Genomic DNA, 26,300 nt, shown 5'->3' on the forward strand with positions numbered 1-26,300 from the left:
CAGTGAGAATTCCTTCACAAAACCAAAAGCTGAACTCTGATAGATACACTGCTCTTTATATTAATATCTCTATCACAGAAACGGCCAAGAGCCCCAGACACTACAAAGTTTTCAGAAGAAATGACATCAGATGTAGCAACAGCTAAAAACACCCTCATGAATCACTAATATAATTAAAATATGAGGCTCTCCATAAAAACTCAAGGAAGGCACATCTCAAAGGCCCAAGAAGTCAGATTAGTGATTCTGCAGAACTATATAAACAACTTTTTTCCAGATAACACATGAGCCCAATATGAACTTCCTTACAGAAGAAGGAAAAGAAAGGTTAAAATAAAGATGCCATGAAATACCCTTCCTTTTCCTAATTCTTCAAAATAAGGGCAATAATCTCTGCCCTTAGAAAATTATAAAAATTATACAATTGTAATAAAAAGTTACAATGCTAAAGTTTTCTCAGGATTTCATCTGGTATCAAAGTTTATAGTCCTTCCTTATCCTTTGTTACAAATCCAACTGTGCAGCAGTGCATAATACAAAAATCTCAGTTATAAGGTGCCAAAATAATAAAGACATGTAGCAATACAGACCCAATGCCCATGGGCTTCTTCATATACTTGTCAGTAACCTCATTCAAAAGCACAATGTTGAAAGTGATACTAAGGGGGAAAAGCACAAAGCCAGGCCTCTTTTAGGCTTATGTTGAAGAAGTAGGCTCATAAACAAATTTTAGGAAGACTAATATCTTTGTCAGTTTGCAAGTAAATTTAAAATATGCATTTCATCATTTATTTATCTAGTTATTGAAAAACTAATTTCTAAATTCCTTTTCCCTGTTCACCTTTGGACCTCTTTGTGACTTGTTAGCGCCTCTACTAGAAGATGTTAAAGAACGAGTAAAACCAAAATAAATGAATAAATAAATATAGTATTGCCACCAACTATGAGAAGGCAAGGTTTCAACAATGACTTGATTTTTTATTATACTGGACTTTCACTTTCCCATGATCTTGCTCTTACTTTTATGTCATTTTAGTCATTTTCATTTGAGCTGGGGTCCATAAAACACAACAGAATTCATAATATATTTTTAAAAATTAAATATTTTATGATATTCCAGTGTCCTCATTTATACACTACTGTTGGCATTAGGCTTTAAAATAATATAGTGGGTAGAATTGTAGTACTTGGTAATATACATTAAAAAATCCATACCCATAGTTAGATTGTTCAAAATGGGACATGGAACCATACAACACCATACCTTTTCCCTTCCATTTTTTTTCCCCTCCCTAAAAGCCACTAGATACAAATACCATTGAACTCTGGTAAACTACCATCAATCCCAATCATGACTCCCAAAGCACTACATTTAGAGAGGGCACCCCACAAAAACAACTTATTTTGTGGCTAAAGCAACAGCATATCAGCTACTCTGTTTGTAACTTAATATAGGAGCAGGGGCCTTTTAGCAAATCAAAACTTCATTAGAGAGACTGGTTGCAGCTGTTCTCTGGATGGGCACTAGGAAGCCTGTACGATTCAGAGGGTTCCTGAGGACACTGCCCATAGCCCTGAGGTGGCATAGTAGGGAAGCAGCTTTTATCATCCACAGAGAAGAAGACTGTGATGGCTGATATACACACAGAGTAGCCCTGGGTGAGTTCACAGATGCGAGCATGAGATTATTCTGGCATGGCTGTAGTAATCTCTTGCTGGGAGGTAGGAGAGGTCATGAATATATGATGTGGGAATGAGGGTGTGGCAAGAGAGAAAAAAGAACCTGTCCCAGAGGGGGAAAGCCACTTGGTATAATGTCTGCTTCACATGTAAAACCACTGATGGTACTCGGTTGCTCAGAGCTTGTTATCATTTCCCCACTCATTTCAACATGAACGGGTCTGGATAAAGGTCCAAGTCTCACAAGAGTCGATGGTAAGTAGTCATAGTTCTCTAAAGCACCGTATTTCTTCTTTTGTCAGATATCATGGCATGAAGACAATGACTATTTGGTAATCTTATGATGCTTTATCTAGACTCAAAAGCACATTTTTAGGTGCCTAACAATCATTAGCAAATACATAGTGGACATTTTAAGATCTCCATTACATAGTGTAGCATTCCTTTAAAATGAAAAATTGCTCATCAAAGAGATCACAAGAAACTTCTACATAAAGGAACTTTAAAGTGGGCTTATTTATAAGCAGTTTAAATTAAATTGCTTGCTTTTAGACAGCAGCAGGCACAGCAATATGTACGTGCTTTAACTTCCATTTTTCCTTGCATTTGGGTTTTTAAAGGTTATAATCCATTATAATTTTCAAAGATAATCGAAGCCTTTAAAAGACTTGAGAAATAGAAGTAGAAATCAGGTTTAAAAAATAGGACAAGAAAAATGATCATTTCTGGGTCGGCCTTGGATGATGTCATCATAGGTTCTAAATGTAATAGCCAAGCAGTGTACACTAACTCTTCCTGCCCATGTGACCTCTAACATTAATTTGGGCAAAACAACTAATATTTCAATAATTTTTTGGCTGAGAAGTGAGATTCAGAAGCAAAAGATTAAAGAGAGTTTAGAGTGCCAAGGATGAAACGATGTGAGTGTGTGTGTGTGTGTGTGTGAGTGTGAGCGCGCACGCGCACGCGTGGGGGCCGAGGGGAGGAGGCATGAAAACTAACTCTTCCAGCACACACCCCTTTTGCTACTACAAGGGCATCCAGCAATCACATTTGCAATAGTAAAAATGCTGAAGAATCCTACAGTCTCTTTTCTTCCACAATCAGCCCTATCCTCTCCTACAAAGCCCTTCTTGCTTTATTGGTGCCAGGAAATTCTTCAGGGGTTAAATGGGGAAGTGCAGCCACTACCATTGTTGCAATAAATAAATGAATGAACCAGAAGGAACCAGCAATCCGTCCCTGGGAAACAAGTATCTTATTTTCTACAATTATATACATTATCCAGCAACCATATATTCTTTAAAATTATATTTTATCTTTTGATGTGTGTGTATACATTATAGACACATATGCATCTATACAAAAAGCAGCACAGTGCCGTGCATACATATACATCAATACCTTAAAAAAATTTAGCATTATTTATTTCAATGAAAAGACAAATAGCTTTTAAAAAATTGGACAGGCTAGCAACTTCATCTCAAAGGCCTTATATTTTGCACATACAGCATATACAAACACACACAGACACAGACACACACACACACACACACACACACACACACACACACACACAAAGGTTTTTTTTTTTTTCCATGCCATACACAATGCTAAAATATCTGAAATCAGGTTGCTATGCCAACAGATTTTTTTCCTAAAATGAATAAAATTATTAGGAGAGAGAAAACATTCTTGACTCCTTTCCTCCCATCCATGAAGCCGAGACAGGCTCAGGGAGGGCGAGAGGCTGCCAGATGGGGAGGAGGGGAAGGAAGGGAAGGTGGGTAGAGGGGTGTTTGCTTACCAAAGATGCTGATTTGATCGTGGCAAAGCGCTCTCTGTTCCGGTAGTGGAGGGCCTGGCTCTGAACTGACTGGGTAGGCCGCGGCTCAGGCCTGGGATCGCCGTGGCCCGCCTCATCCCTTATGAATACATGATCCTGCAGAAATGGATAAAAACAAGGAGAAAGTCCAGCTGTGCTCTTTCCTCGCCGGCTGCCTCTCTCTCACCCCTCTTTCTGCACAAGCACTGCTGTTTGAAATGCATAGTTTAGCTCTCTGCTAGTCCCCGCAGCTCCCACGGTACAAAATGAATAAGCAACACATTGCAGCCTTCAGTTAGGAATGTCAGCTGATCGCTAGTGGGATGCCTTCTGAATCCCTGGCAGGCTTTTTCTTTACCTCCAGAATTACATATATGCAAAAGAAAAAAAGAATAGAAAAAATAATGCAATGTACAGACTCCTTAGAACAGTTTGCTTAAAACGCTGTAACCAGATAATTCCTTTAAAAATGTCATGTCCATGTCTAGCAAGGAGGATGCTGGTGGCTTTTAACATAAAAGCGAGCCTCCGCCTCATTCCCTTGAAAGATCTGCTTTCTCAATTTAATTTTATTTGAGATCTGTTCGGTAGGATCATCGTTCTGCCTAGAACCAATGTAGGCTTGTGCTGAACTGCCTCTCTATCTTGTGCTGGGAAGATTCGGCAGTCACTGAGGGATCCTGCTTTCCAGTCATGATCGTACACAGTTCTAGCACCTTCTCTCTACAGCTTCTGAAAGGATTTTTTTTTAGATTTAAAGCGACAGGCGTACAATTTTAACCAAATGATACGTTCACAAATTCTTCTTCAACTCAGCATCGGTATGGTCACCAGAGTGAGTAAAGCTGGAATTTAATGTCCTTGACTGATTTAATCAAGCCCATGCTTCTTGATAGGCAAAGATAATTAATCTTGTTCTAACGTCCAGTGAAAAAATAGCATTCCCTGGAAGGATAATAATGGATGTTTCTTAAATGCAACTGAAATGACTTTTAAAGGGGAAAATGCTTTCAAAGGATGATGTTCCTCTCTATAAAGATGAAGTAGTGGTCAGTCATTAAGTGGCTATAACCCTTTAGAAAAAAGGACGCTATAGTAATTTGTACCTCAAAAACATGTACAACCATGGGGGATTTTAAAATAGTACATGTTCAGGGTGGAAAAGGAGAAATTAATTCCTTATTTCCCTAGGGTTTTAGGAAAACCATTTGTGAGAAGTCAGTATTGCATTTTATCCATGACCACTTGAAATTTTTTATAATGGCTTTTTTCTTCATCAGGAAACAAAAATTAAAGAAGTTTAGAAAATACAAAATTTTATTATAGTCCAAAATTTGGGGAGAAATTAAATTTTACATCCAGATTTTTATGTAAAAGCCAAGACCCAAGATTAAATTGGGCTGATTTTCTTTTTCCTTTTATACATTTAAAATGCTTTGATGTATTGGGAAGGTATCTACCATTACACCTATATGGAGAATTGTTTTAAATTTATGTATTATAGCTCAAATAATGAAGGGATCTTTAATAAACTTGCCATTGAGGGCATATATATCAAATTCACGTATATTCTGCAGCTGCGCTGTCCAGCAAGATAGTGACCAGCCACATATGACTATTTTAATTAAAAATTAAATTCAATTAAAATTAATTAAAACAAAATTAAGTGCAAAATTGAGTTCCTGAGTCATAATGGCTATGTTTCAAGCACTTAGTAGCCATAGTTAGTGGTGCCATATTGGTGGCTTATAAAACTTGTAAGTTTTTAAAACTTATAAGAAAATATTTGAAAGGTCAGTTAAAATTATTCTACATGATTTCTCGCGAAATTTGAACTCCTGTTTTACAGGGAAGAGCGAGAACGTGTGTAATTGGGATTCATTCACTAGGCTTAAGGTTCTAAAGAGGAAGGCACTGGGACCTGCTACCATTTACATTACTGCATATTTGCTAATAAATTTATGTACAAAATTCAACTTAATATTACAGTGCCAGAAAAGCAAGCAGCTCTTAAATGCCAGTAATCAAAAGAGATATGCTAGGTAGAGGCCTGTGATTTTATAGGAGGCTTTAACAAGTCGTAGTTTTGGTGAATATTAATTGGCTAACTTACCAAGTACATTGATAGAGGGGGAGACCCCAAATACATGGGCAACAGTTCAGTTTCACATTGTAATAACTTGATTTATAAGGATAACCAATGACACTAGAATCCACATTCTCCACAGGGCAGACCAAAACAAAATTTATTCATGTACAAATATGTGCAATTTTATTTAGTCTGTTTTATCTCTGATAAAAATTAACTCCTTAGAAACACGGTTTAGGGCTCTGCTTCTCCAATTAAAAGCCACAATGTATTTTCTAAGTTTACTAAACTTGAGGAAGTTGAAGTACACCGGAAAAATTAAAACTTGAAATGACATTGATTTTAGTTGACACATATGTAATTAAGTAACTCAAGTATATTTTTAAAATAATGCTATTTTTATAGTCCAAAGAATAGGTTCAAAATTTTAACCCACTTTAAATATAATAATGCTAATAGTATAATTCTTTGCTTCCCCCTACATTTTTTTCCTTTTATAAAATTATTCTTAGTTTTCCAGATCATTTTCATAACAGAGATCACTATCACTAAAGGTCTTCAAATATTATACAAGAGACCACAAAATGGAACAAAATTTTAGTCTAACAGTGGATATTCATTTCAAGTGCATTGGGAAATGAATTTTAATATTCAGTTCCACTGCATAAAACAGGTTCAAAACTCCAAAGACAGCTTATGAAGCTATTTAAAAATGGGAGAATGTAACTTGAGAAGTAAGCTCAAAGAAATTAAAGTATCAACTTTACTGGAAATATTTTCTGTTGGTTATACTGCCCCTTTAAGTAACAGTGCCTCTGTAAGAGACCACTATACCTGGCTCCCAGAGTTTCTGAACTGCACACATCTTAAGATTAACAATGGAAAGGGTTAATTTCTATTTTTATGCAGTTATGCACTAGATACAGATTATTTACAAATGATAAGGCTGAAATCTTCAAAGAAGGATTTTAGAAGATTAAGAAGAATAAATCTATTCTACTTTGCCAAGGCAAAATATATGGCATGGTTATAATTTATCTTTAAAACATTATCATCCAGGAAAAAACAAAAATAACTCCTTGAAATACCAGTTTTAAGTAAACCTACGTTAACCTGGTAAACTTACCACGTTGTTGTTTTTTTTTTTTTTTTTTTTTGAGACAGTCTCGTTCTGTTGCCCAGGCTGGAGTGTAGTGGCACTATCTCGGCTCACTGCTACCTCTCCACCTCCTGGGTTCATTTTTGTGCCTCAGCCTCCTGAGTAGCTGGGACTACAGGTGCGTACCACCATACCTGGCTAATTTTTTTGTATTTTAGTAGGGATGGGTTTTCACCATGTTGCCCAGGCTGGTCTCAAACTCCTGAGCTCAGGCAATCTGCCTGCCTTGGCCTCTCAAAGTGCTAGGATTACAGGCACGAGCCACCGCACCCAGCCCACGACATTGTTTCATCATAAAAAATAAATTTCTTCAGATTAAAAAGGAAGCTGTCATAATGTTTCTTCAAGATCTTTGGTAAAAAGAATTGAATTTCTATACAAGAGTGAAACATGTGAAGCATGAGGCACACAAACTTTACTATTATACCTTAGACAAGGGGCTTTCCTTTTATTTGGAAGTCTTTCCTTTAAGTGTCTGACCATTACACTTCTGAAATGAAGGTTCGTGGTTAGGCACTTGCCTAGAGTTTCTTTTTCTAAATATATTTTCTTCCCTAATAGAGCTGGGGTCTCACTATGTTGCCCAGGCTGGTCTTGAACTCCTGGGCTCAAGCGATCCACCCACCCCGGCCTTCCAAAGTGCTGGAATTACAGGCGTGAGCCACCGTGCCTGGCTACTTGCCTACAGTTTCTAAATGAACTTGACTTTAACCCAGGAATCACTCCTCTGGACTCAGTTGTGCTTTGGGTTTACTTTTATCACAGTACTCATCACACTTACTTGTCTGCCTCTGCATAAGGCTGTGGGCTTTTTGAAGGCAGAGTAAATGTCGTTTGAAAAATCTTAGTCTCCCTAGCACCTGGCATAGTGCTTGATACTTAGTAGGTATTCAGTAAATGTTTGCTGAATAAACAAACACAAGAATATAGGTCTGAGGAGATTTTGAGAAAATGACATTTTCTTTTGGATTATTTAACAGAATTCAAATTTGTATTTCATAAAAACCTGCCACTCTGTACTCTAAGGAAGTCGTAAAATAGTGACACACACATAAGCACACCTTTACACAGCGGGGTGCGGGGGGATGTATCTAAAAATGGCTCTTATCCGGTGATGAGAAACCTTTGTATAGACTCCCACACTTTCTACGCTGTGGAGAAGGGATCAGCAGACCCACCACTCTCCTTTGTTTTGTTCATTTCAAAATTATTAAATTATTGTCGAAGCAGGGGTAGCTATCAAAAGCTGGGGCTGGAGGAAGGGGAGGAGAAGATGAAAAAGCATATCTTAACTTGGAAGGATAGTTGGAGAGAAAAGATGACTAGCAAAAGGCTGAGGAGAAAGACGTTACTACAGAGAAGTGTTGTATGACTGCTCTGTTTAAGAAACATTACCTTCATATGTTAATTTACTTTTACTTTGCCAAATGTGAGTTGAAGAGGCAAAGGACCCACCCCTCTATTCAGCAAAAATAATAGGAAAGGCCACTGAAGCAAGTGAAAATTAAACTAGAACATCCTATTCCCTCAAGGACATTTCTTTTTTTTTTTTTTTTTTTTTTATCCCGCAAAGGTGGTGAAAGCTGTTCTTTTTTTAAAGAGGGGATGGGAAAAGAACTAACATTGACTAACAGGAAGGGTCAAATAAAGCTTTAGGAGTCAGGGTAGAATGGCTTTTTTTCCCCCTCCACCAGACGGAGTCTTTGCTCTGTCACCCAGGTTGAAGTGCACTGGCACCATCTTGGCTCACTGCAACCTCTGTCCTCCCCAGGTTTAAGCAATTCTCCTGCCTTAGCCTCCAGAGTAGCTGAGATTACAGGCGCGTGCCACCACGCCCAGCTAATTTTTGTATTTTTAGTAGAGACAGATTTTCACCATATTGGCCAGGCTCGTCTCGAACTCCTGAACTCTTGATCCACCCGCCTTGGCCTCCCAAAGTGCTGAGATTAAAGGTGTGAGCCACCGTGCCTGGCCAGTAGAATGACTTTTTTAAACAATAGTTTCTGGAACACTTATTCTGTTTTATAGAATGAAGTGTTGTCCCATTAAAAAAAAGAAAAAAATGTTCTCTAAATAATCCCTAGAAAGGGACCCTTATGACTGGCGTTCAATAAGCATACCTAAAATAACACTGATTCAAGAACAATGCTTTTAATATATTAAAGTCTTATGATCTATACTAATAGAAGGCAGCAACAGGCAAAGGGAATTAATTTTATACTTTAGTAAAATAAAAATACACCTTTTGATTAACAAATTTAAAAGACAGACTTTGCTGCTTAGGATATTATTAAAATCTATTTGCTATGGCTCTATACACAATGATTTTAAGGAGTAGGATGAAGGCTCAGAAGCAGGCTAGATGACAAGGAAACAATCTGGATTAAAAATTTGTACCGGAGTCACTTGTGAATAATCAAGAATTGAGGTGTGGAATTGTGTCCTTGGCCATCTTCAATTTAGTTCACAGAACATTTGTTGAGCGCTTACTATGTAACAGACACTGTGCTACGTGGTAGGTGAAAAAAAAGGTTCCTGAAGAACTACCAGTCTAGAGATGTGGTGATGTTCTTGTTATTGAAAAAAGTAGTGTGGCAACACTAGCCAGGGGGAAAAATAAGTACCTAAAATTTATTTTGTCAGAATATGCCTTTAGCCTTATCAAATCATTCTTGCTCAAAAAGAAGACTGGATTGGGCCAGTCGCAGTGCCTCATGCCTGTAATCCCAGCACTTTGGGAGGCCAAAGAGGGTGGATCACGAGGTCAGGAGATCGAGACCATCCCGGCTAACACGGTGAAACCCTGTCTCTACTAAAAATACAAAAAATTAGCCAGGTGTGGTGGCAGGCGCCTGTAGTCCCAGCTACTCAGGAGGCTGATGCAGGAGAATGGCGTGAACGCAGGAGGCGGAGCTTGCAGTGAACTGAGATCGCGCCACTGCACTCCAGCCTGGGCGACAGCACGAGACTCCATCTCAAAATAAATAAATAAATAAATAAATAAATAAATAAATAAATAAATAAAAGGAAGTTTGGATTAGGATCCCCTCAGGGCCTGGGAAAGACCAGAGTAGAGGCAAGGACTGGAGAGTAAGTAACCTGGAATTCTGATGTCAAAGGAAAATTTTCAGTGTCCCACTTTGCATTTTGGGGGCTTGATCTGTGGTAGAACTGTCCTGCTAAAATCAGGGCATCTTTATTCTGGAAGCAGAGCAGTTAAGTGCAAGTCATGCTCTCACTAGCTACTCATGGATTTCATTTTATTTATTTTTTTAAGGTCCTTCTTTGAAAAAGCAAATTTATTTCCTATCTAAAATGGTAATCTGTTTCAGATCTGTTTTGACTACCAGTCAAATTAATTTGACTAATTTAAGATATGTCTGCTTGTGAGCCGAGATTGCACCACTGCACTCCAGCCTGGGCAACACAGTGAGACTCTGTCTCCAAAAATTAAAAAAAGAAAAGAAAAGATATATCTGCTTGATTATAACAATCAAGGGACAAAAGATTCCTTCTCCCATATTCATATATTTTGGTATTTATTAAGCACGTTCTTATTGTGTTGGGTACTCATTTAACTTTCATTTAACTATTATTTAACTTTCTCAAACTGTAAAGATAGCTAAGATTATTTAATCCTTTTGATCCATTATGTTCAATGAACCAGTAGAGTATGATATTTAATATTTGGTAATTAATTTATTCCCTGCCTTCTTTTTGGTTTTGTTGGTCTATTCATTCATTCCACAGTTATTTACTGAGCATCTATGCTGCGCCAGGCACTATTCTAGGTATTGGATTTGTTATTTGTCCAAAGTAAAATAAAACTAACAGAGGCAGATAGAACTATAAATTAGTTTCCTCATTCCTAAGTTTAATATACAAAATTTTCTGTTGAGAGTTAAAAATCCTATTTATGTTCCCAAGTGAAAAAGTGTTAGGAATTTGAGTAAACCATCCAATACAAACTTCATGAATAATTTTTATTTCTATTGTTTTTAAAGATAACATATTTTAAAGCTCAGGTACAAGAACTAAATGGATTTCATGAAAAGATACCATATCTTAAGTTTTCATATATATTCTATTTTTTGAGCTCACTTACATTTTAAAGGTAACTCATCCAAAGTTTTATTTGCAAATGTGTTTTGATTTTCTTCCATCATATTTCCTCTATATATTTCATGATAAAATAGGAATATATAACTTAAATTCTTCCTGACCTATATATTTTTTGTGGATCAAATGCAATTATCTTCTACTTCAGAATATAAATTTTATCTGTTCTACTTAAGTCATCACACATCAGGGAGAGAAAAGTATTGAAACACTCATATTATCACAAGGTAGGTCTATGACAGCATGCAAAAATAAAATTAAAAATCCCATTAGTTCTAGACCAGGGTTTTCTTTCTTGTTGATTATGCCAGTAGTGTCTTTCTTCTAATTCTGGTTGCCTATCTGAGAAGTCCTGGAGCAAAAAGATCCAACTGAATTCCTCTCTTTTGCCCCCTCTACTCATAGAGCCCCAGGGGTAATAGAAAGGAAAGTGCCAGACCTGTCAGCACTCATGATCACTCCCTCCAAAAAGACAGCCCAGCAAAACCTTCTTTTTTTTTTTTTTTTTTTTTTTGAGACGGAGTCTCACTGTGTTGCCCAAGCTGGAGTGCAGTGGCGCAATCCTGGCTCACTGCAAGCTCCGCCTCCCAGGTTCACGCCATTCTCCTGCCTCAGCCTCCCGAGTAGCTGGGACTACAGGTGCCTACCACCACACCCGGCTAATTTTTTGTATTTTTAGTAGAGACGGGGTTTCACCATGTTAGCCGGGATGGTCTCGATCTCCTGACCTCGTGATCCGCCCACCTCGGCCATTGCGCCTGGCCTCAAAACCTTCTTTTTTACTCTTCAAATACATGATCACTTGCCCATGTTGAAAGGACACCAGCTGGCAATGCTGATCTCTTGGTAGATTTCTGCATCTGTCTGACATCTTTGCTTTCCTCAAATTGCTTCCATGTCTTCCTGATAATCTGGGTCCTTTGCTGTCTCTCTGGTCCTGAGGCACTGTCCACATAGCACACCAGCCATAGCTTCTATGGCCTTCCCCTTTTCCTTGAACATACAAAGCTCTCTCTGTCTCAGTGCTCTTGTACTTGTTGCTTTCTGACTCATCCCCATCTCTTACCCCAGCTGGCTAGCTTCTATTTGTTTTTGAAATTTCTGCTTAAATGTCACCTCATCAGGTAGGCTTTTCTTACTCCCTGCTAGAGTAAGTCCTCCTTTTACCCGAGGCAAGTTTCTTTCTTTCTTCTTCTTCTTTTTTTTTTTTTTTTTTTTTGAGTCTCACTCTGTTGCCCAGGCTGGAGTGCAATGGCGCGATCTCGGCTCACTACAACCTCTGCCTCCTGGGTTCAAGCAATTCTCCTGCCTCAGCCTCTCGAGTAGCTGGGATTACAGGCATATGTCACCAGGCCCGGCTATTTTTTGTATTTTTAGTAAAGACGGGGTTTCGCCATGTTGGCCAGGCTGGTCTCAAACTCCTGACCTCAAGTGATCCACCCGCCTAGGCCTCCCAAAGGGCTGGGATTACAGATGTGAGCCACCACGCCCAGCCAAGAAACATACTTTTGAAAGAGCATACTTCTAAAAGGGCACAACCAACAGGTACACTCAGGAAGACTTGAAGGTCTACAGTATTAAGATTATTGGTTTAGAGAAGGACTTATCAAATTCTTCAACTTATTTATTGATGATGATGGACATCAGAGTAATGAGAGAGGGAGATGAAGAAATAGGCACAGATGTAGCCTGTGTAGTCCTTTGTTACTTTTTGACTGTAAGAAAACTGTCACATGCCAGGTTTAGTACCACACTGCAGTTGCAAAAAGGTAACTGAAACATCTGGAAGCTAAGTGACTTGAACTGGATTCGCTATGATTGACAAAGCTCACCTCTGTGGAGGGTACCAAGAAACCTACTTTCTTATGCACGACGGAGGAGCTGGAATTGATTGTGCTTTCGTCATCGTGCATCATGACAAGTTCGGAACTGCTCTCGTCCATGACTTCCTGCATGCTGTTCACACTGCTGCTCTGGCTGCCTGTGCTCACGGACATGCTTGGAATGGAATGGTTGCTGCCCAGGCTGTCCATTTCCCTGTTCAGGCTGGTTCCATGTTCACTGTCCTGTAAAAATGGGGCACTGAGGTTAGAAAAAAAGACTGAAGATAAAGAGTCAATCCATTGACAAAAGTGTCAAGCACACTCAATTTTGCAGTGTCAAGTTGCTTTTCTGCCAATCTGCAAAGACAAACTTTTTATGTACTGGCTCCACTACTCCTCCACCATTTTCATACATCTCATATTTGCTTCCTATGCCTTCCCCAGGGGCCATTCTGGACGTGGGTCATAAGGCTCCAAATGCTGCCATCCCAGGGCTTTCCCCTGTCATACACACTATCATATTATCGTGTTGCTATTCAGTAAGCAAAATCAAGCCAGGTTTGTAAGGGACCTTCTGGAACATCAAGGAGCTAGAGGAAGACTGCTGGCCACTAAACAGGTGAGCTCTAGGATATCTTCAAATACAGCAGTGGTCACTTGAAAAAGTAGAGTGGAAAGAGTTTTCAGATATTTGACAAGCAATATGCTCCCTCTGCAAGTCATTATTGAGTAACTTCATATCTAAGCAGAAATATTAATTCTACTTTCCTGGACAGGTAATTAAAGTCTGCCTCCCTCAAGCGATTCTATCATGCTTATCTCTGTAATCTTATTATATATATCTGTTAAATAATACTGGTATTCATCATTACTGGCCCAAAGACTACTATTTGAAAAGTGGTAAAATAATCAGAACATATAATTTATCCATCACAGTGGGATATCTTTTGATATAAGATTGAATAATAAAATTAAATCCATTTAGCTACAAATAAACCTTGTTCTCAAAAAACCATATGGTACACATATAACTTTAATAAACTGTTACTTAGCCATGGCAATATAAAAAATTACTGGGTAATATAAAATGGAAGATAATACATTATTTTTAACAGACTTATTTTCCCAATTAAAGGGGATCATTTCTATATATGCAATCAAGAAATTTTATAGTTCAATGCAACTTTCCGAGCTTCATTTTTAAAATTATTGATAAAATACTTTTATGTTTATTTTATTTTCTGTTAAAAAGCTAAAATACTCCTGTTCTTGTTATGTCTACGTTCTGAAATCCTGCCTCTTTAACTATATCCCTTTCTTCTATCTTCGGTGCCTCTGACTCTGCCCTGGCTCCATCTCTACTGCATTTAAAGATGAAGAAGCCTGCCTTATATTTATGGATCTCTCTACATGCTGCCCACTCTTACTTTTCCTTCTTAACCCAATTTCTGAATCTTAACATAATTATTTTTTCCTGTCTCCCTCTTATCAACTCCCATGAATTATACAACTCCAGTAATCTACTATTCATTCTACCTAGTCCTGTAAAACTGCTTTTACTAAGGTCATCAAGGATTCTCTAACTGAAAACTTCTATCTGTATACTGGCAAGAGTTTATAATGCCAGGACCTTAAACTCAAAAGGCACGAAACTGAAATCATCCTAAATCTACTCTTTCTCCCTGGTTCTTTTTCTCTGTTCTTGGTATTGACATACTCCTAGCCACCCAGGCTCCAATGCTCAGAGTCACCTTAAACTCCTCCTTATCTGTCACTGTCAATGAGAAGCCATGGATTATGAAATCTACCTCTACGATGTTTCTCTAAAGTGCTCCCTTTTCCCCATTTGCATCGACACTGACCTTATTACCTCTTGCATGGACTATTAGCCAGGATGTTGCCCATTCAAATCCATGTTACACTCTGTTGCTAGGATAATCTTCCTAAAGCACAACACCTTTCTGAGTCTAGAACACCCTATGCCCATTTGTCAGAAACTACCCACATCATGTCCTCCAGGAAACCTTCACTAATCCCACCAGCAGACTTATTTTCTCCCCATGATGGACCCCTGCAATGGGGTTACACCTCTGTAGCACTTTTCATATTTTGCCTTATATAAGTGTTATTTTATGAATGTCTCTTGTACAACCCTTCATGTTTCTTAAGGCGGACAGCATCAATTAATTTTTATCTTCAAAAGTTTTTCATAGTGCCCAGTCTAGAACTTTTTCACATAGTGGGCATTCTATAAGTGCCTGCTAAAATAAATTGAACCTACTTCCTCATCCTCCTGTGACTCATTCAAGGGTCCATTCCGTGTCTCTTGGAAAAGTATTTTTTTCATTTTTCGGTACTGTAGGTTATCTAGCTCACGAACTGCATCTTTTGTCCTCTGTATGAGGTCAATGAGGACACGTAGTGGCCGGTCTCGTCGAACAAAGTCATGCTGATTGAGGGAGGAGGAAAAAATAAACTGATAATGAAGAAATGTCCTTAGGTGCAAGGTACAGATATAAAAGGAAATAGAGAATCATAAAATAGTTCTATGGATATTACAGAAATAACAAAATATGATTTTCATGTCATGTGTCCTTCCATATTTTGTAAATCTCATAAAGAGATAGCTATGCTTTTTTCTTCTTCCTTAAGCCCCATTTTGCGGATGTGAGAATTCTTTTTAAAAATTGTACATATTTAAAGTATATGGCAACATGTTTTGATACACATATATATAGTGAAATGATTTCTACAGTTAAGCAAATTAACATATCTATTATCTCATATAGTTACTTCTTGGTGGCAAAGTACCGAAAATCTTTAGTCTTAGCAAATTTCCCAGATATAATACAATATTATCAACTATAGTCCTCATGCTGTACACTGGATCTCTACACTTATTTATCCCACATAACTAAAACTTTGTACCATTTGACTTTCATCTTTCCATTCCCCATCCCTTTCAACCACCTTTCATTTTGTGTTTTATTCTTTGTTTACTTTCCACATGTAAGTGACATCATATGCTATTTTTTTGTGTGTCTGGTTTATCTCACTTAGCATAATGTCTTCTGGGTTCACATGTATTGCTGCAAATGGCAGGCCCACTTTCTTAAGACTATATATAAAATAAATATTATAAATAAACAAATATATAATAAATATATATAATAAAATATTCAGTCATATATATTATTGAGTCTTAAATATCTATATCACATATACCATAATTTCTTTTATCCTTTCATCCACTGATGAACACATAGGATGTTTCCTTATTTTGGCTATAGAGAAAAATGCTGTGATGAACATGGGGGCACAGGTATTTTTATGAGGTGCTGACTTCATTTTCTTCAGGTATATAACCAGCAGGGGGATTATTGGAACAAATTAACATTTTGTTTTTTGGGTTTTGGAGGAACCTCCATACTGTTTTCCATAATGGCAACCCCAATCTACATTCCCACCAACAGTATATAAGGATTCCCTTTTCTCTATACCCTTGCCACTTATTATCGCTTATCTTTTTTGATAATAGCCATTCTAACAGGTGTGAGGTGATACCTCATTGTGGTTTTCATTTCCATTTCCAATAATTAGTGAATGTTGAGTATCTTTTCATATAAGAATTCTTGAGGTTTACTTTATCATATAAGTAATAAAAAAATCACTAGAACTTTAAGAAGTAGGAGGTAGGCTTGTACCTTTTAAATCTGAAACTACATAATAAGCAGAAGCAATGCATAGTATAGTCTATTCTTTTTTTTTTTTTTTTTTTTTTTTGAGATGGAGTCTCGCTCTCTCACCCAAGCTGGAGTGCAGTGGTGCGATCTTGGCTCACTGCAACCTCCACCTCCTGGGTTCAGGTAATTCTCCTGACTCAGCCTCCCGAGTAGCTGGAATTACAGGCATGCACCACCATGCCTGGCTAATTTTTGTATTTTTAGTAGAGACGAGGTTTCACCATGTTGCCTTGGCTGGTCTTAAACTCCTGAGCTCAAGTGATCCACCCGCCTCAGCCTCCCAAAGTGTTGGGATTACAGGCGTGAGCCACCGCACCGCACCTTGTTCTATTCTTATTATAACTTGCCTCAATCCTCACCCCCATACACACTATCCCTTGAAAAACAGACTTGTGAATATTTTGTTCTCTATTTCTGTGGCCGTATAGTGTATGCTTGAAAATATGCCAGTTGTTCAATTTATCCAGAGGTCAAAATTCTGGCAACTTCATTTCCCCAATTAAAAAAAAGGGTCTCTGAGGAGTGAAAACAACTGCCCTAAAGTCCATAAATTAATCTTGATATAAACATCCCTCACTTTCAATATTATTAATGATTGTTACATAATCTGGTTTCCTAGTTTCTCAGCCCATAGCAGGTTAGACAGAGAATAAGAATGGAGAAGTAAGCCTGGCGCGGTGGCTCACGCCTATAATCCAACACTTTGGGAGGCTGAGGCGGGTGGATTACTGGAGATCAGGAGTTCAAGACCAGCCTGGCCAACATGGTGAAACCCTTTCTCTACTAAAAATACAAAATTAACTGGGCATGGTGACGTGCATCTGTAATCCCAGCTACTCGGGATGCTGAGGCAGCAGAATTGCTTGAACCTGGGAGGCAGAAGTTACGGTAAGCTGAGATCACACCATTGCACTCCAGCCTGGGCAAAAAGAGTGAAACTCCATCTCAAAAAAAAAAAAAAAAGAGTGAGGAGTAAAGGATTGAGGACTGGGAAAGGTAGGGTTACCACCTGTTGTAAAAAGAAGTAGCTTTTGTAAGTTCTCTGACAGCTTGAGAGTAGAGAAACAGAGAGAAATTTCATGACTAACAGACCTATCAACCAAACAAATAATAATAAAACAGGTTTGTGGGCTATTTTGCAAAAGGGCAAATGCCCCTTATATAGCCCCTTTTATGCCTCAAGAGTTCACGAAACACTGTTTCTGAGCCCTCAAGAAGTGACATTAGGCTGGGCGTGGTGGCTCACATCTGTAATCCCAGCACTTTGGAAGGCCGAGGCAGGCTGATCACTTGAGGTCAGGAGTTTGAGACTAGCCTGGCCAACATGGTGAAACCCCGTCTCTACTAAAAACACAAAAAATTAGCTGGGCATTGTGATGCATGCCTGTAATCCCAGCAAGCCAGGAGGCTGAGGCAGGAGAATGGCTTGAATCTGGGAGGCAGAGGTTGCAGTGAGCCGAGATTGCACCACAGCACTCTAGCCTGGGTGACAGAATGGAAAAAAAAAAAAAAAAGACATTATTTTTTAAAGGCAAAAGTTCAGTTATGTGGAAAATTTACTTATGTAAAATTGTAATTTGAAGACATTGGGAAAATGAGATATAATGTAGTGGGCCTTAGCTGATGAAATGAATTTAATTTCTTTATAATTTAAACAGATAAAAAATAATAGGGCCCTTGTGAGAAAACAATCTATATGTCTTGTGGTTCTGCATTCTGACTCTCTTAGAGGAATTGTGGTTTTTGCTGTTGCTTTTATAAAATACCTCTTCCTAGGTAGAGTCCTTTTTGAATAAAAAACATCATTCCCAGAAGCAAGTGTAGCCTGCACATTTCAAGGATGAGAAAGAAAGGAAGAAAGTATTATCATTTTCCTCCTCTAGTGCTTACAATTATAAAGAGCTAATCGGTTTTTAGTAAACTTAAAGCTATGACTTAACATCATAGAATTTTAGAACGGGAATGCCTCTTAGAAAACTTTCTGTTTCAAGGCTGGGCATGGTGGCTCATTCCTGTAATCCCGGAACTTTGGGAGGCCAAGGCGGGCAGATCACCTGAGACTAAGAGTTCAAGAGCTGCCTGGCCAACATGGCAAACCCCCATCTCTACTAAAAACACCAAAATTAGGGACCGGGCATGGTGGCTCACAACTGTAATCCCAGCACTTGGGGAGGCCGAGGCAGGGGGATCACATGAGGTCAGGAGTATCAAAGACCAGCTTGGCCAACATGATGAAACTCCGTCTCTACTAAAAATACAAAAATTAGCAGGGCATGTTGGCACGTGCCTGTAGTCCCAGCTACTCGGGAGGCTGAGGCAGGAGAATTGCTTGAACTTGGGAGAAGGAGGCTGAAGTGAGCCGAGATCATGCCACTGCACTCCAGCCTAGGTGATAGAGTGAGACTCTGTTTAAAAAAAATAAAAATAATAAATAAGAAGTAAAAATAAAAAATACCAAAATTAGCCAGGCGTGGTAGTGCCCGCCTATAGTCCCAGGTACTCGGGAGGCTGAGGCACGAGAATCAATTGAGTCTGGGAGACAGATCTTGCAATGAGCCGAGATCAGGCCACTGCACTCCAGCCTGGGTGACATAGAAAGACTCTGTCTCAAAAAAAAAAAAAGAAAGAAAATTTTTCTTTTTCAAAGTGAGAAAATTTGGGCCCTGAGAAGTTAGGTGATTTCCATAGCTAATTAGTAGAAGAGCTACGGCTGCAACTCAGGCTTTAAAAATTTTTTTCTGCCAGGGGTGTGGGTGGTGGTGGTTATTTTCTGGTGTCCTACTACCATAATTATCTTTCTAAAATACAGGTATGATCATTCATTGCAACAGATACTACATGTCATTCCCCCATTCCAACTTCTTTTTTTTTGAGACAAAGTCTTACTCTATCACCCAGGCTAGAGTGCAGTGGTGCAATCTCAGCTCGCTGCAAACTCTGCCTCCCAGGTTCAAGTGATTCTTGTGCCTCAGCCTCCCCAGTAGCTGGGATTACAGGCGTGCACCATTACGCCCAACTACTTTTTGTATTTTTAGTAGAGATGGGGTTTCACTATGTTGGCCAGGCTGGTCTCAAACTCCTGACCTTAGGTGATCCACCCACCTCAGCCTCCCAAAGTGCTGGGATTACAGGCATGAGCCACAGCTTTCAGACCCAATCTCTCTCTCTCTCTTTTTTTTTTTTTTGCCTTACTTGAAGCACTAGGAAGTAAAGGAACTGAACCCAAGCCTTCTTTGTGGTTACAGATCACTAAGTGACTAAGTTCTGGCCAGTGAGAGGTAGGCAGAAGTTCTCAAGGAAGGTTTTATTTTCTAGAATAAAAAGGCAAGACACATGAGGACAAGGTGTTTTACCCTTTGTTCTCTCTCCTTCTTCCTGCCTGGAATGAAAACTTGAGTCATGGCAATGTAGCAGCCATTTTATGACAAAGACAATAAAAGCTACATGCTAAGGATGGTGAAGTAGAAAGAGAGAAAGAGCTTGGGTCGATGACGACATTGTTGAGCTGCTTAGAGCTTTGGACTGCTTACGCCACTTCCTTTTCCAATGTCCTGGACTTCCTATTACATGAGATAAACTCTTACCTGTTTAAACCTTTTACAAACAGATACACTCTACATCTTAATATCTCACTGTCTCTTAGATAAAGTGTAGCCTTTTACAGCCAGGTTCCTGCTTGTATTTCTAGGTTTAAATCTAGTCATTGCTACTCCTCCTTCCTACACAATTCTAGGTACATTCTAGGTAATTCTAAACCCGTGCATACCTTTCACACCTCTAGGCCTTTGCCTTCACATCTCTATGTTCTCTCTGCCTGCAATCCCATCTCCTCATTGTTTTTTTTTATTTTTATTTTTTGGGACAGAGTCTTGCTGTGTCGCCAGGCTGGAGTGCAGTGGCGCCATCTCAGCTCACCGCAACCTCCACCTCCCGGGTTCAAGCAATTCCCCTGTTTCAGCCTCCCAAGTAGCTGGGATTACAGGCATGCACCACCATTTCCAGCTAATTTTTTGTATTTTAATAGAGATGGGGTTTCACCATGTTGGCCAAGATGGTCTCAATCTCCTGACCTCGTGATCTGCCCACCTCAGCCTCCAAAAGTGCTGGGATTACAGGCGTGAGCCACTGCACCCGGCCTCCTCATTGTTTTTAAAAGCCCACTGTTCTCCAAACCCCTACAACTGGAATGCCCTCGGACTCTTTTAAAAGGACAATTTTATTGTTCTCAAAAATATGTTTACTTTCAACACTCAAATAACACAGAAAAATGTATAAAAAAAGAAAATCGGCCAGGCACGGTGGGTCATGCCTGTAATCCCAGCACCTTGGGAGGCCGAGGAGGGTGGATCATCTGAGGTCAGGAGTTCGAGACCAGCCTGACCAACATGGAGAAACCCTGTCTCTACTAAAAATAGAAAATTAGCCGGGCGTGGTGGCACATGCCTGTAATCCCAGCTACTAGGGAGGGCGAGGCAGGAGAATCGCTTGAACCAGGGAGGCAGAGGTTGCCATGAGCCGAGATCGTGCCATTGCACTCCAGCATGGGCAACAAGAGCGAAACTCCGTCTCAGGAAAAAAAAAAAAAAAAGAAAGAAAATCACCCGAAATTCTACCATCTCGAAATAAATACATAAATATTAAGTTACAGAATATCATTTTAGACATGTCCCTTTCTTTCTCTCAGAACAATGAATAACTAGAAATCATTTTACATGGGAATCTGATTATACAAGCTAATTTTATGTATAATCGATTTAATTAAGGTATATTTGAATTTAACAGGATTAGAAGAGACTGAATTAAAACGATTGCATAGGCTGTATGCAGTGGCTCATGCCTGTAATCCCAGCACTTTGGGAGGCTGAGGCGGGTGGATTACTTGAGGTCAGGAGTTTGAGACCAGCCTGGCCAACAGGGTGAAACCCTGTGTCCACTAAAAATAGAAAAACTAGCCAGACATGGTGGCGTGTGCCTGTAATCCCAGCTGCTCAGGAGGCTGGGGCAGGAGAATTGCTAGGGAGAATCTCAGGAGGCGAAGGTTGCAGTGAGACGAGATCGCGCCACTGCACTCCAGCCTGGGCAACGGCGCGAGACTCTGTCTCACACACACACACACACACACACACACACACATGCACAAATTAAAAAATAAAACAATTGCTTAACTTTAGTTGTAATTTCTTCACCAAAAGAGTTATCTGTTCCTAACAGATCCTCTAAAGTTAAAAAAAAAATTATTAAAGGCTTTACGAGATTGAAGTTACTTTAGTTCTTTTGTCCTATATATTTTAAGAAATGTTATTGTCCATCTACTTGGAAAGATAAGGAAATTAGTATGCATACGTTTTTCCTGCCCTTAGATTTTTCTAATTACATTATTTTTACATTGCAAATGTTTCTAACATTTACATCTGTCCTTTAACCATTTCAATAATTTTACCTCAGTTGTTTATTTAAATGGATTAAGTGTGAAAGTGATGTTTTAATGTCAGGGCAAAAATGCATGGAAAAGATGTATTATTGAAAAATATCTGGGAGTAAGTAGATAGCTTAGCTGGGGGAAAAAAGGTAGATTTTTACCTCACTCCTTGTAACAAATTTTTGCATAACTCTCCCCACCTCCTTTCCACAAAACATCAGCATAAAGAATGTCAAAAGAGAAATAGGAAAAAAAAAATCCAAGATCTACTATAAATTAAAAAGGAAATACAAATGGCTTTTCAACTTACGAGAGAGATGTTCAACATCTCCCATAATGTGAAATAGCAATTAAAACTATAGTGAGAAAAGTTTTCACTGATCTGACAAAGTTCAAAAAGTATCAGTCTTCATACTTTCACGGTGGGACTATAAATTGGTGCAACTGCTTTGAAGGACAAATGGGCAATATCTATCTAAATTTAAAATCCACATTGATGAGCAATCCCACTTCTAGGAATTTCTTTATTTTATTTTTATTTATTTATTTTTTTGAGATGGAGTCTTGCTCTGTTGCCCAGGCTGGAGTGCAGTGGCACGATCTCGGCTCACTGCAAACTTCGCCTTCCGGGTTCAAGTGATTCTCCTGCCTCAGCTTCCCGAGTAGCTGGGATTATCGACGCATGCCACCATGCCCAGCTAATTTTTGTATTTTTAGGAGAGATGGGGTTTCACTATTTTGGCCAGGCTGGTCTTGAACTCCTGACCTTGTGATCTGCCCACCTTGGCCCCACAAAGTGCTGGGATTACAGGCATGAGCCACCGTGCCCGGCCAGAATTTATTCTTTAGATATTCTTATACAGGGACAAAATGCCATATACACAAAGATATTCATTACGGCACAGTTTGTAATAGCAAAAGATTGGAAACATCCTAAATGCGTTGGTTAAACAAATTATGGTCCATCTAAGAATATTATGGAGCCATTAAAAAGAATGAGGTAGCTTTGCATGTAGTAATACAAAACAATATCCTAAGCACACTGTAAAGCAAAAAGAAAAATCAGGGTGGAACGGTTTTTATGGTTTGCTGTCATTTGTGCAAAAATAAAAACAACATTTACTTTTATATGCATAAAATATCACTAGAAGGAGAGGTACAAAATAGGTGCAGTGGTTGCTAGTGAGGGGGCCTGAAATGGGAGGGAGATTTCTTTTTCATGTTCTACCTTCTCTTATTATTTTTTGAGACAGAGTCTTGCTGTTGCCCAGGCTGGAGTGCAGGGGCACAATCTCGGCTCACTGCAACCTCCTAGTTGATCAAGCGATTCTCCTGCCTCAGCCACTCGATTAGCTGGGACTACAGGTGTGAACCACCATGCCTGGCTAATACTTATATTTTTAGTAGAAATGGGGTTTCTACGTGTTGGCCAGGCTGGTCTTGAACTTCTGGCCTCAGGTGATCTGCCTGCTTTGGCCTCCTAAAGTGCTGGGATTATAGGTGTGAGCCATTGCACCCGGCTCTTCTTCTTCTTCTTCTTCTTTTTTTTTTTTTGAGACAGGGTTTTACTCCCATCACCCAGGCTGAAGTGCAATGGCAGGATCTCGGCTCACTGCAACCTCTGCCTCCCAGGCTCAAGTGATTCTCCTCCTTGAGCCTCCGAAGCAGCTGGGACTAAAGGCGCATGCCACTGCACCTGGCTAATTTTTGTAGAGATGGGGTTTTGTCATGTCCAGGCTGGTCTTGAACACCTAGGTTCAAGTGATCTGCCTGCCTCAGCATTCCAAAGTGCTGGGATTACAGGTGTAAGGCACTGTGCCCAGCCCCAGGTTGTACCTTCTACTGTATTTTTCCTTTTGGAAATTTGTGAGACCTATTTAAAATGAAGAACATACAGCTTCTTTAGCCATGCAAAATAAATAAATAAGTATTTGGGGAGGGGCCTCTTTAAATTCAATATTTACCATCAGCCCTTTTACCAGTTTCTCCAGTCCCTCATTCATTCTTCCTGCTTGCCTTCCTCCCTCTTTTTCTTCTTTTTGCTTCATCTCTATATTGGCTAGATTCTGTTATTGAGCAATTTTTAAAAGGAAAGCGCCGAAAGGTTGCATTGCCTAAATGTGTGGGGCTCGAAGATGTCAGCTGCCTTTATAATTTAAGAACATCTTGGCTGGCTCACAATTCCTGGCTTATATTTTATTTCCCTTAGAACTCTGCAAACACTGTTCTATTGTTTTCTGGCTTTGACTGTTCCTGAAGAGGTAGGTCTGGAGTCAGTTGGTTTTTCCACCCCAAAATAAACTTTTTCAGTCTGCTTGTATGAATCTTTCTTTATTCCTAGAGTTCAGGGACTTCACCAGGATATGATTTACTGATCAATGAAGATCAGTTTCATGGTCCCCCTCTTCATGCATGTATCTGCTTAAATGTTACCTCCTCGAACGGCCTTCTCCTTACCTAAAATAGCAGCACCTGTCAATCTTGATGCTTGTCTAATTTATTTTTCTGCACAACACTTAACATCAACTGGCACTATAACATATATTTATTTCTTTTCTTTTTTCTTTTTTTTTTTTTTTTGAGACCTAGTGTCGCTCTGTTGCCCCGGCTGGAGAGCAGTGGTGCTATCTTGGCTCACTGTAACCTCCGCCTTCCGGCTTCAAGTGATTCTCCTGCCTTAGCCTCCTGAGTAGCTGGGAATATAGGTGCCTGCCACCATGCCCAGCTAATTTTTGTATTTTTAGTAGAGACGGGGTTTCGCCATGTTGGCCAGGCTGGTCTCGAACTGGTGACCTCCTGATCCTCCCACCTTGGCCTCCCAAAGTGCTGGGATTACGGGCATGAGCCGCCACGCCCGGCCTACTTATTTATTTCTTACTCCTTCTTGTAAGTTTCACAAGGGCAGGCACTATGTTTTTATTGTGTACTACTGTATTCTCTGCGCTTAGAATAGTACTTGACACCCAGCAGACAATCAGTAAATATTTGTTGAATAAATAGTTGGCCCATTTGATTTGGTCCATCAAATCAAGATGGAATCAAATCAAAGGAAGATCCAAACATTTCCAGAAAAGTTTTCTTCAAGGATATCTTTAAAAATCTTCTCCTCCATGTGTTTTGTTTTCTTTTTCAGGAATAATCGGTTGGCATATATTAGATCTCCTGTGTCTTCCAAATGTATCATTTTCTTTATATTCATCTTTAGAAGTTTTATTTTTTGCACTTAATTCTATTTTATTTCCTTAAGCCTATTCACCATTGGAAACATCCTAAATGGGTTGGTTTACTACATGTTCGTTGCTTATAATATGATTTTTTAAACTGTTATGTTTTTTCTCTTCCATTTTTTTCTTTACCTCTACCCATTTGCTTTTTATATCCTTTTGTTGTCTGTAACCCTTAACTTTTAACATCGCCCAAATTTATTCATATTTTCCTTTTTTTTTTTTTTTTAAAGAGATGGTATTTTCACTCTATTGCCCAGGCTGGAGTGCAGTGGCACAATCATACCTCACTATAACCTCAAAATCCTGGGCTCACGTGATCCTCCTGCCTCAGCCTCCTGAGATGCTGGGATTATAGGCGTGAGCCACCATACCCAGCTCCACATTTTTTCCCCTTTTATGGTAGTAATTTTTATGTCTTGGTTTTTTGTTTGTTTGTTTTTAAGATCTTTGTGTACTTCAAGGTAATAAAGATATTATTGTGTGTTTCTGGTGTTTTGTTCTGGTTGCTATTTTCCCCTAAAGAAACATGGAATTGTTGCTAAGTAGTTCATGTTTAAAACATGTAAGGGCTCCACAACAAAGGAGAACAAGATCAAGCTCTTTGTCCTGTTGCTTCTCTTACCATACTCCTGTGGCCTACCGCTCACAAGAAGTAAAAACTTGTCACCTAGCCAAGGTGTTCTTAAATTATAAAGGCAAACATTTTTAAGCTTTACAAATTGAGGCAATACAACTCTTCTGAGTTCTTCTTAAAAACGAACAAACAGAACTGCTATACAATAAAAGCCAGCCATTCTAGAGACGGAAGAAACAGAAAGGGTTGAAAAACAAACATGCAAAAGAAGGATTAAAGAAATTTGGACTATTGTGCGCCAAATAAAAGAAAACACTTCTACTGTAAAAGATTTCCACATACTACACTGATATTGATGCAACACACTGCCTATGTATAAAGTCTACAGTAAAATATTACATGAAAAGAGATGCTTGGTGATAATTAAATCAAATAAATGTGGTTAACACGATACTCTTATCACTAACATGTCATAATACTATGTAAATGTCTACTCTATATAGTTATCATACACCTTCACTGCCTGAGGATTTGGCAACAACCTAACTGAAAATCCCAGAGTTGGTGTTTGAACCACCAGCCAGCTCTGTCCTGAGACCACTGGATTAATGTTTATGCAGATGTTAGGCCCAGGAACATCAC

The 26,300-nt window shown here is 39.1% G+C and overlaps 1 protein-coding gene across 12 annotated transcripts in view, besides 1 other annotated feature; it reads right to left on the reverse strand.

Moving 5' to 3' along the window:
• The window catches only part of TAOK3 (TAO kinase 3), a 223,107-nt gene that overhangs the window by 36,519 nt on the left and 160,288 nt on the right, over positions 1-26,300 (reverse strand). For 6 of the 12 annotated variants that reach the window (NM_016281.4, NM_001346493.2, NM_001346492.2 and 3 more), the window contains 3 exons: positions 14,977-15,144; positions 12,732-12,938; positions 3,488-3,622 (listed from right to left, as the gene is read on the reverse strand). In NM_016281.4, the coding sequence (NP_057365.3) occupies positions 3,488-3,622; positions 12,732-12,938; positions 14,977-15,144 (510 nt within the window). Of the gene's footprint in view, positions 1-3,487; positions 4,217-12,704; positions 12,939-14,976; positions 15,145-26,300 lie in introns of those variants that run through there. The other 6 variants (NM_001346487.2, NM_001346490.2, NM_001346497.2 and 3 more) reach the window with 3 other exon arrangements.
• Positions 4,045-4,339: a silencer, noted in NCBI's record as "tiled region #13893; K562 Repressive non-DNase unmatched - State 16:ElonW". NCBI's record gives its function as "represses a minimal TATA promoter and a strong SV40 promoter by Sharpr-MPRA in K562 cells {active_cell/tissue: K562}" and the evidence as "EXISTENCE:reporter gene assay evidence [ECO:0000049][PMID:27701403]".

This window comes from Homo sapiens, chromosome 12, assembly GCF_000001405.40.
Source record: "Homo sapiens chromosome 12, GRCh38.p14 Primary Assembly".
NCBI classification, from domain to species: domain Eukaryota; kingdom Metazoa; phylum Chordata; class Mammalia; order Primates; family Hominidae; genus Homo; species Homo sapiens.